The 11,717-nt window shown below is 45.3% G+C and overlaps 1 annotated feature.

Annotated features, from left to right (window-relative positions):
- Nucleotides 2,260-2,987: an enhancer, noted in NCBI's record as "H3K4me1 hESC enhancer chrX:2467730-2468457 (GRCh37/hg19 assembly coordinates)". NCBI's record gives its function as "activates a minimal SCP1, AML or CMV promoter by ChIP-STARR-seq in primed H9 embryonic stem cells {active_cell/tissue: H9 hESC(primed)}" and the evidence as "EXISTENCE:reporter gene assay evidence [ECO:0000049][PMID:30033119]".

An 11,717-nucleotide genomic window follows, 5' to 3' on the forward strand; every position in this document is an offset into this window, starting at 1 on the left:
GGAGAATCACTTGAACCTGGGAGGTGGAGGCTGCAGTGAGCCGAGATCTCACCACTGCACTCCACCCTGGGTGACAGAGTAAGACTCCATCTCAAAAAATAAAAAATTACAAAAATTGAAACCAGGCAAGCTGCTGTACTGCATTTGGGAATCTCACCCTACCCTGCTCCTTACCCACAATAAAAATTCAATCTAGAGTTTTTTCTTTACCATCTTGGTCTATTCTGGATCAGCTTGGAAGATCTTTCCTGCTCTCCCGCAAAAGCTGTATTATGTAAGAAATATGTGTTTGCATACTCTGTTTGTATGTGTGTATGTGTGTATGTGTGTATGTGGGGGGTGGGGTGGGGGGGTCATGAGTCTTGACATCCTGACCAAATTTGGGAGGAACAGGTGCATCCTATTATTTCAAGATGGCCTCACCAGCGCAGCATGGTGGCTCATGCCTGTAATCTTAGCATTTGGGGAGGCCAAGACAGGAAGTTCGCTTGAGACCAACAGTTTCAGACCAGGCTGTGCAACATAGCGAGATCTTATCTCTCTAAAAAAAATTAGCCAGGCCTGGTGGCACGCACCCCTATAGTCCCAGCTTCTCAGGAGGCTAAGAAGAGAGGATCACTTGAGCCCAGGAGTTCAAGCCTTCAGTGAGCCATGATTCCACCACTGCACTCCAGTCCCAGGCTCTTAGAATGAGACCTTGCTTTAAAAAAAAAAAAAAAAAAAAAAAGGCTATGGCTACACTAGTGTCCTTGGATAAAAGTAAAACGATCTAGATCGACACAACTATAATTCTTTTTTTTCTTTTTTTTTTTTTTTTGAGACAGAGTCTTGCTCTGTTGTCCAGGCTGGAGTGCAGTGGCGCGATCTCAGCTCACTGCCACCTCTACCTCCCAGGTTCAAGCGATTCTCTTGCTTCAGCCTCATGAGTAGCTGGGACTACAGGCGTGCACCATCATGCCCGGCTGATTTTTGTGTTTTTACTAGACACGGGGTTTCAGCATGTTGGCCAGGCTGGTCTCAAACTCCTGACCTCAAGTGATCTGCCCGCCTCAGTCTCCCAAAGTGCTGGGATTACTGGCAGGAGCCACCACACCCAGCCCACAAGGCCATAATTCAATTGTGAAGTTCCCAGTTGCCGATGATCCTGGCCTGCCTTCCTCAGTTAGAACCTTCTAGGCATGCACACAGGTGGGGTGGTCTGTGTTTTTCTTTTCCTTTTTCCATTTACATGGGATTTTAGACACACTGTGTAGTTGGAAGACTGGAAGATTTCTATTTGTAAATGAAATTCGACCTGAATGAGAAAGAGTCGTAACTCTACAGGGATCATCCATCAATGCCTAAGTTCCTTCCATCCCCAGTTTGAACACATCTGTTATGCATGAGACTCCTTAAGCTGCACAAAAAGCACACACTCATTTCATGCGATGGACAGCCGGAAGCAGTGCATCCTGCAGGCTAGGATGTGTTGCTTTGTTGAAAGCTTTGCCGGACAGCCTGTAATTTGGAGGGAGAACGGCCTGAAGCATTCAGATTCAGCAAAAGGCTCTTCTTTTGAAACCAGATCATACTGTTATCACCAGAAAGAGGTCCCGATCCAGACCCTCAAGAGAGTATTCTTGGATCTTGCCCAAGAAAGAATTTAGGGCGAGTCCATAAAGTGAAAGCCAAGTTTATTAGGAAAATAAAGGAATCAAGAATGGCTACTCCATAGCCAGAGTAGCCCCAGGACTGCTGGTTGCCCATTTTTATGGTTATTTCTTGGATATGCTTAACAAGGGGTGGATTATGGTTATTTGTATGGATATGCTAAACAAGGGGTGGATTATTCATGCCTCCCCTTTTAGACCATATAGGGTAACTTCCTGACGTTGCCATGGCATTTGTAAACTGTCATGGAGCTGGTAGGAGTGTAGCAGTGAGGACCACCAGAGGTCACTCTTGTGGCCATCTTGGTTTTGGTGTGTTTTCGCCGGCTTCTTTACCTGTTTATCTTTTACCTGTTTTACCAGCAAGGTCTTTATGACCTGTCTCTTGTACCGACCTCCTATCTCATCCTGTGACTTAGAATGCCTTAACCATCTGGGAATGCAGCCCATAAGTCTCAGCTTCATTTTGCCCAGCCCCTATTCAAGATGGAGTTGCTCTGGTTCAAACACCTCTGACCATACTTTAACCTGATTCTGCAAAAAGCCCTCTCATCAGATGCCTCTGCAGCATGGAGGGTCGCAGATTGAATATACTCTTTTCTAGGTCTTGAGTGGATTTGTTGCAGAGCCAGTGAGCAAATGCAGTTATCACCACCTTGGTTTGCCTGTGACTGTCATCATGATGAAACAGCTACATTGTCTGGGGTACATACCCTGGGGTTCATTGTCTCGCACCGAGAAAGAATTCAGGACACAGACACGTGTGGGTGGATTAAGGAGTGGAAAGTTTAAGAGACAAAGAAAGGAAAGAAGAGAGCAGCTCCTTGCCAGAGAGAGAGAGAGAGAGAGACATCTGAAAAGTAGGGAGGTGGCAGTCAGCAGCAGATTTTATAGGCAGGCTGGAGAAGGTGGTGTTTGATTTATGTAGGGCTCACAGATTGGTTCCATCAGGTACGTTTACATAGCGCCTGTGGGGAAGGCTGATTGCCCCACCTTAATCTTATTATGCAAATGGGCTTTCCACTTGATAGGCGCCATCTTGTCTGCTCCTTACTGTACAAGTGGCCGACAAAGAGGAGGAAGATGGAGCCACCCTGTTGAACGTCTCTAGTCCCTAGTTCCTGCCGGCATTCACCCGTGCAAGCTCCCAGCTGGCTTGTCTATGTCTGCAGCTTGACTTGACAGGCTGCTCTTTGTTAGAAAATGACTTGGGGCTGCTTTTCATTAAAGAGAAAAGCCTTACCAAGGACTCCCATACCCTTACTGTCTGCCTAAGTGATTTCTTCTTAACTCCTGTATCACTGGCAGACTCCCAGTTGCCTGTTGGGTGGAGTACTATATTGCCGAGTATCATGACTGTATTAGATGTGAGGGAGACAGTGTGAATAGGACATGGTCCCTGAAGAGCACAGAGCTCTCATGTGGGGCTGGGCGGAGCTTCTGTCCTATCCAGTGTTACGGAACCCTTGCAAGCACAGGTCAGGCAGCTCCAGTGCTGGAAGACATGCACGCAAAATCCAGGGGGACCATTGCAAAGAGGTTTAGTGTTTCTTGGAAAAATGCCAGAAGTCTGAAGAAGTGGTGGCCCCGAGCAGCTTTGAAGGATGTGCATGCAATTAAACCGAAGCCAAAGGGTCAGAGAGAGGAGTGAGAGCCAGGTAGGAATCTATGTGCAGCTTCATCATAAACTCACAGGCAGGCTTCATGCAGCACCGTCTCAGTGCATTCAATGTTTGGATTCCACACGCATGCATCCTCAACCCCCTTGCAATGCTATTCTCCCTGGAGGGAAATGGGTCATTCTTACTCTATCATATGCAGATATCTGGTCAACCAGATAAATGTGTGAGAAAACACCAACAAAGCAGAAATTACTTTTAATTATAGAGCAGAGTCATCGTAAAAGTTTGTGCAAAAAAAATTTTTTTTTTTTTTGTGGCTGGGTCTCCCTCTGTTACCCAGGCTGGAGACCTGGAATGCAGTGGTGTGATCATGGCTCACTGCAACTTCGACTTCACAGGCTCAGGTGATCCTCGCACCTCAGCCTCCCAAGTAGCTAGGATGACAGGTGTGTGCCACCACACCTAGGTAATTTTTGTATTTTTTGGTAGAGATGAGGTCTCACTATGTTGCGCAGGCTGGTGCTGAAATTCTGGGCTCCAGTGATCCTCCTACCTCTGCTTGCAAAGTACTCGGATTACAGGTGTGAGCCACAGTACCTAGCAAGATTTTTTTTTTTTTTTTTTTGAGATGGAGTTTTGCTCGTGTTGCCCAGGCTGGAGTGCAATGATGCGATCTCGGCTCACGGCAACCTCCGCCTCCCGGGTTCAAGCGATTCTCCTGCCTCAGCCTTCCCAAGTAGCTGTGATTACAGGCATGTGCCACCACGCCCGGCTAATTTTGTATTTTTAGTAGAGACGGGGTTTCTTCATGTTGGTCGGGCTGGTCTCGAACTCCCAACCTCAGGTGATCTGCCCGCCTCGGCCTCCCAAAGTGCTGGGATTACAGGCGTAAGCCACTGCGCCTGGCCAGCAAGATTCTTTTTAAGGCACTTATTTTTATTTAGGGAATGAGAGACTGTACAATATTGTAAACAAATAAAATCAGAAAACATATTGTGTTTCCACGGTTCCAACACATATGGGTCACATGAATTGCGTGAACTCACTGTTAAGTGCATGGTAAATATCATGCTTTAAAAAGAGAAAGATGTTTCGGCATCACTTTTTTTTTCTTTTTCTTTTTTCAGATGGAGTCTGGCTCTGTCCCCCAGTCTGGAGTGCACTGGCACCATGTCAGCTCACTGCAACCTCCGCCTCCTGGGTTGAAGTGATTCTCCTGCCTTAGCCTCCTGAGTAGCTGGGATTACAGGCGCCTGCCACCATGTCTGGCTAACTTTTGCATTTTAGTAGAGATGGGGTTTCACCATGTTGGTCAGGCTGGTCTCAAACTCCTCAGCTCAGGTGATCCGCCCCCCTCCGCCTCCCAAAGTACTGGGATTACAGGTGTGAGCCACCGAGCCTGGCCCAGTATCACTTGCTTAAATATTTTAGAAATGTGTAGAACTTTCAGGAAGTTACAAAAACCATGTTCCATGAGCTATTTTAACATATTTACTTGACAGCTGTCTCATGTGGCTTTTGTAAATAAAAGTACAAGTACGGCCGGGCACAGTGGCTCCCACCTGTAATCCTAGCATTTTCGGAGGCCAAGGTTTAGGATCCCTTGAGACCAGGAGTTGGAGACCAGCCTGGGCAACATGGTGAGATCCCATCTCTACAAAAGAAAAAAAAAAAATTAGCTGGATGTGGTAGGATGCACCTGTATTCCCAGCTACTGGGGAGGCTGAGGTAGGAGGATTGCTTGAGACCAGCAGGTCAAGGCTGCAGTGAGCTGTGATTGCACCACTGCACTCTAGCCTGGGTGACAGAGCAGAACTCTGTCTTTAAAAAATAAAAATAAATAAATGCAAGTGTATGGAGCACTCAGCCTAGGAGTGTTTTTAGCACGAGCTGCAATTATAGATGGGGTCAGCTGCATGACCCAAGATGAAACCTAGAAGAAAACACTCACGTTCACCACCACCATCAACAGTGCCTTCCGCAACACATCCCTCCATGGGAACTGCCAGATGTTTCTTTCTCTCTATTGTGTAGCTAAATATTTTCTGAACTATATTGGGCAATTCTTTCCAACACAAATGTCTTGGAATGCTAATAAAAGTGCCTGGGGAAAAAAAGAGGCTCTAAATTCAGGGGGAAAAAATGTGGAAAAGACTGAGCTTCTCAGAGTTGAGCGGTTCTTTTCAGCAAGATTTCTCAGTCTTTTGTTTGCTGAAGGGCAATTAAATCTCCCAGGAGAGATACTGTGGGTACTGTGGTCCGCGTGCCCAAAATTCTTTAACCACAGAACTGTTTTTGCTAAAGTCAGTTATTAACATTTCAATCACATGGGATTCCAGGGACTAGAACCTTAAAAGTCCGAAAGTCACTGAAGCATTTGTTCAATAATCCCAGTCAGATAAAATTTACTAGTTACAACAACTTTGGACAAGAGTCGGATGCCTTTTCAAAGGAAGTTGAATGGTGCAGTATAAATGTGCCATGCACCCTCCATGGAAACACAAGATTTATGTTTCATGCACGTGTGGGTGAAAATTTTCACATGCTAAGTGCTGTGTTATCTGAGTTTGTCATGTTTTCTCAACAAGTGCGTTTCTTTTTTTTGAGTTGTTTTGTTTTGTTTTTTGAGATGGCGTCTCGCTCTGTCACCCAAGCTGGAGTGCTGTGGCACGATCTGGGCTCACTGGAACCTCCGTCTCCTGGGTTCAAGCAATTCTCCTGCCTCAGCCTCCCAAGTAGCTGGGATTACAGGTGCCCACCAACACTCCTGGCTAATTTTTGTATTTTTAATAGGGATGAGGCTTCGCCATGTTGGCCAGAATGGTCTCAAACTCCTGACCTCAAGTGATCCTCCCGCCTCGGCCTCCCAAAGTGCTGGGATTACAGGTGTGAGCCACCACACCTGCACAAATTTGAGAACTGACTGCACACTCTGAGGATTTTAGACTTCAGCCAAGGCAAAACTCCAATTATTAGTTTTCGAATCATTTTACTTGTCAGGACATAGGTGCAGTTCCAGTTAACAGGGAAGAGTGGCACACCTGCTTATGCCTAATTATAAAGTAACTGAGGAAAACCATCAGTGTTTTCCAGGAAGTTGACAAAGTCCTGGTTCTTTATGAATGAGTTCAGAATCTGCCATTGAGGTTTCCAGAGATGCCAGACCTAAGAAATGCTGGGGAAATAAAGACACTTAAAGAGATAAAAACTGGCTGGTGTGATGGCTCACGCCGGTAATCCCAGCACTTTGGGAGGCTGAGGCGGGCAGATCACGAGGTCAAGAGACAGAGACCATCCTGGCCAACATGGCGAAACCCCGTCTCTACTAAAAATACAAAAAGTAGCTGGGCGTGGTGGTGCGCACCTGTAATCCCAGCTACTCGGGAAGCTGAGGCAGGAGAATCACTTGAACCTGGAGGCGGAGGTTGCAGTGAGCCGAGATCTGGCCACTGCACTCCAGCCTGGTGACAGAGTGAGACTCCGTCTCAAAACAAACAAAGAAAAGAAAGTAGAGGAATAAAAGAATGGCTAGTCCACATGCAGAGCAGCCCTGAAGGCTGCTGGTGGGCCATTGTTATGGTTGTTTCTTGATGATATGCTAAACGAGAGGTGAATTATTCATGCCTCCTGTTTTTAGACCATAGAGGGTAATTTCCTGATGTTGCCATGGCATTAGTAAACTGTCGTGGTGCTTGGTGGGAGTGTAGCAGTGAGGATGACCAGAGGTCACTCTCATCACCATCTTGGTTTTGGTGGGGTTTGGCCAGCTTCTTTACTCCAACCTGTTTTATCAGCTAGGTCTTTGTGACCTGTAGCTTGTGTTGCCTTCCTATCTCATCCTGTGTCTTAGAATGCCTAACCTCCCAAGAATACAGCCCAGTAGGTCTCAGCCTTGTTTTACCCAGCCCCTATTCAAGATGGAGTTGCTATGGTTCAAACACCCTCTGACACTGCCTGTATTAGTCTGTATTTATGCTGCTGATAAAGACATACTCGAGACTGGGAAGAAAAAGAGGTTTAATTGGACTTACAGTTCCACATGGCTGGGGAGGCCTCAGAATCATGGCGGGAGGCAAAAGGCACTTCTTACATGGCGGGGGCAAGAGAAAAGTGAGGAAGAAGCAAAAGCCGAAACCCCTGATAAACCCATCAGATCTTGTGAGGCGTATTCACTATCACAAGAATAGCATGGGAAAGACCATTCCCCCATGATTCAATTACTGCCCCTGGGTCCCTCCCACAACATGTGGGAATTCTGGGAGATAGAATTCAAGTTAAGATTTGGGTGGGGACACAGCCAAACCACATCACTGTCATTTTGTAAAAGATGTGCATTTTTGTCTTCTCCGGTTGCCATAACAAATCACCACCAATTTTGTGGCTTTAAAAGAACAGAAATGTAGTGTCTTCTGATTCTGGAGTTCAGAAGCCTGAAATTAGTATTGCTGGGCTAACACCCAGTTGTTGTCAGAGCTGATTCCTTCTGGAGTCTCCAGAGCAGAACCTACTCCCTTTCCTTTTGAAGCTTGTAGAGGCTGTTTTGCCATGCCTTGGCTTGTAGCCCCTTCCTCTACCTTAAAGACATCAGCACATTTCCCTCCTCTCAGACCTCTGTTTCTATCCCCACATCTCCTTGTCTGACTCTGACCCTCGTGCGTCCTCTTTCCGGTATAAGGGTGCTTGTGATGACATTGAGATACCCTCATTATGATCCAGGATAATCCTCTCATCTTAAAATCCTTAATCACTTTTGCAAAGTCACTTTTGCCATATAAGGTCACATATTCACAGATTTCAGGGATTAGGATGTGGGCGTCATTGGGGCCATTATTCTGTCTATCACATGGAGATTAGGATGTGGACATCTTTGGGGCCATTATTCTGTCTCCCACATGGGGATTAGGACATGGACATCTTTGGGGGTCATTATTCTGTCTCCCACATGGGGATTAGGACATGGACCTCTTTGGGTGTCATTATTCTGTCTACCACATGGGGATTAGAATGTGGACCTCTTTGGGGGACATTATTCTTTCTACCACATGGGGATTAGAATGTGGACATCTTTGGGGGACATTATTCTGTCTACCACATGGGGATTAGGACGTGGACATCTTTGGGGCCATCACCTGTCTACTACATGGAGATTAGGACATGGACATTTTGGGGGTCATTATTCTGTCTACCACATTAGGATTAGGATGTTGACATCTCTGGAGCCATTATGTTGTCTACCACATGCGGATGAGGACATGGACATCACTGGGGCCATCACTTTTTCTACCAGAAGAGGAAAGAGTATTGGGTTTAGGGTGAGGGGACATAAGTATGTGGTCCCAGAACTACCATTGGTTAGCTCATTACACTGGACAATGGACCTTGCCTCTAGGTCCTTGGGTCCTACATCTGTATTGTAGGGGTAATCCATCCTACATCAGATCTATGGTATTCAAGTAACGGGAACAGGCTAATACAGTCAGCCACTCAAAATGGCTTCATAACATCCTTAAGCTATGGAACCATGAGCCAGACATATCTGATTTGACAAAATTAAGATAAGGGTCAGAAAACTTTCTCTTCTGGCTCTCTGAAGCAAAGCCTTTATTTTGATCTGTCTAGCTGTCAATGTCTTTCCATTTTCAAATCACAGTTACCAGTCTTTCACCTTTACATGTATTTTAATGGCTTAACATCATTAATATCAGCAGGAAATTGATTTTTTTTTTTTTAGATGGAGTTTCGCTCTTGTCACCCAGGCTGGAGTGCAATGGCGCGATCTTGGCTCACCACAGCCCCCACCTCCAGGGTTCAAGTGACTCTCCTGCCTCAGCCTCCTGAGTAGCTGGGATTACAGGCATGCACCACCATACCCGGCTAATTTTTGTATTTTTAGTAGAGATGGGGTTTCTCCATGTTGGCCAGTCTGATCTCGAACTCCCAACCTCAGGTGATCCGCCCACCTAAGCCTCCCAAAGTGCTGGGATTACAGTCGTCAGCCACTGTGCTCGGCAGGAAATTGTTTTTACTAAGAGACCGCTGAGCCAGTGTGGAGAGGGATCAACATGAAAACATGATGGCATTTGAATATTATTTTCCAAAATCAGATTATCCCTTTAAACACACGTTTCTCTAACTCATGGGAGGCCAATGTCAGTCATGACATGAAATTATATTTCCCACATTGCATCTTAGACTAGAACTTCTATAAATCTGCAAGCCAAAAAAACAGAACTTCCAAGGCTCCATAGCAAAGTAACCAAGCCAACCCCATACTCACCTAGAATCGACTCTCTACAGCTGTGTTCATTCATCACACTCATTACTTCCAAATTAGATGTTTTTTTCTCCAACAGGCTCAATGACTACTTAATTTACATTCCAGCCACAAAATCAAGCCTCTGATCTTACCTACTCCTGTGTCAGGCATAAACGTAATTACGAATACAAAGTATTGCAGATTAGGTAATGCATTCAGTCTAGGATGGAAGACTCAGGTTGTACTTGGTGAGGGAAAGCGTTTACAACACCTGTCTACTGGATTTAAACATGCAGCTGCCATTGGGGTTAGGGTTGGAAATTTCCATATCACTGGTAGCTGAGTTCCTGACTAGTTGGGATAATCAAGGGTAGTTGAGAGCCAAGTACTTAATGATTATCTCCACTCTGCAAATGACCAATGTCTTGTGGCATACATTACCCAAACTTCTCATTCTACTTGGAATACTCCTTCTGTAGCAAGTCTAGGTCCTTCTAGAGCCGTCTTCAGAGTTGAGGTCTGGCAAACTCATTCCATGCCCAAGATCAAAACCAGTAGGCTTACCACTTTACCATTGGCATCCAAGCTTGACTTCTTGATCTTCAAGTGACATGCTTTCTGTATCCTCATTTCTGCCTTTATTCTTTCTTCTCCAAAATTCCCAAAGTGGTCTTGGGCAGAGAAGATAATGATGGGTTTTGGTTGTCCTTAAAAAGTCTGCATGGATATCTTCACAGGAAAGCAGCATGCTTTTACCTAATTTTGTTTTGTCCTCTCAGGTACATGGTGATTCCTAGTCTATCATGTGTGTGAATTTCTTGGGGTTCTGCTACAAGGCAGATTCTGTTTCAGTGGATCTGGGTGGGGCTTCACATTCTATGTGTCTAAGTCCTGGGCAATGGTGATACTGCTCATCCATGGACCATATATTGTGTCTTGAGGTTTTACAACACAGGTGTATATAGGTTTATGTATATAGGTGATGCCCTGCATAAACTCACTACAGAAAACGACCTGGGCTAGAAATGGTAGCAGAGTGCAACCTAGGGGTCCCTGGGTTGGCTTAAACTCAGTAGGTAGGCATGGAACTTGGGATGGCCACTTTCTTGACCCTTAGCAGGAATTGCATGGGTCCAGGCAATTTATCACAAGAAAAACAAAGTAAATGCCCCAGATGGATCAACTCAAATGCATCAGTACTAGTAGAAACAACTAAAATGATGGCTACCTGGCTGGATTCATGTTCTGTGGTAGCATCTTCCTCTACTGCTGATGTGAGGTTGGTCCCTGAAGCAGAAATGGCTCTTGTCGCCCAGGGACAAAGGAGTCTTGGCTGGGCACGGTGGCTCATGCCTGTAATCCCAACACTATGGGAGGCTGAGACAGGAGGATTGCTTGAGCCCAGGAGTTAAAGACCAGCCTGGACAACATGGCAAAACCCTGTCTCAAAAAAAGAAAGAAAGGAAGAGAGAAAGAGAGAAAGAAAGAGAGAGAGAAAGAAGGAAGGAAGGAAAGGAAGGAGAGAGAGAGAGAAAAAAAAAGAAAGGAAGAAAGAAAAGAAAGAAAGAAAAGAAAAGAAAAAAAGAAGAAAAGAAAAGAAAACTTTGCTGAGCCCCCAGGCTTGGTGGCTGAGATGAAAGCATCGCTGGAGCCCAGCAGGTTGAGTCCGCAGTGAGCTGCGATTGTGCCACTACACTCCAGCCTGGGCTACACAGAGGGACCATTTCCAAAACCAAGAAAGAAACAAAAAAGGGAGTCTTGCTAAGTTGATGCCTTTAGAACTCGTTGTTCGTAGAGACAAAGTTGGTGTGTGGGAGCTCCCCATGCACTTCTCTGGAGGATAAGAGAGGGTAGCTCCATTCTTTGTTGAGAAAAGTGCATTTGCCCAGAGGGCTTGGGGGCTCAGGTTTAAAAAGAAAAGTCTGAAGGTCAGTGCTTGCTGATGATAATAAGTGATGCTGAAATTATCTAGCATCTAGATGCTAAAATGTCACCCTTTACCATCTTTTCAACATCCTTCTGTCTCAGTGGTATGAAATGATTAATTTCACCCAGGGTAATTGGCTATTTAAACTTACTGGCACTGGCAAAAAATGCATTAAGGTGGACATTCTAAAATCAAAGATATTAATATTAAGATCTATTTTATTTCTTTAAAAAATTACATGAGATCTTCCAGGGACCATGTAA

Source organism: Homo sapiens, chromosome Y, assembly GCF_000001405.40.
Source record: "Homo sapiens chromosome Y, GRCh38.p14 Primary Assembly".
Classification (NCBI taxonomy): Eukaryota; Metazoa; Chordata; class Mammalia; order Primates; family Hominidae; genus Homo; species Homo sapiens.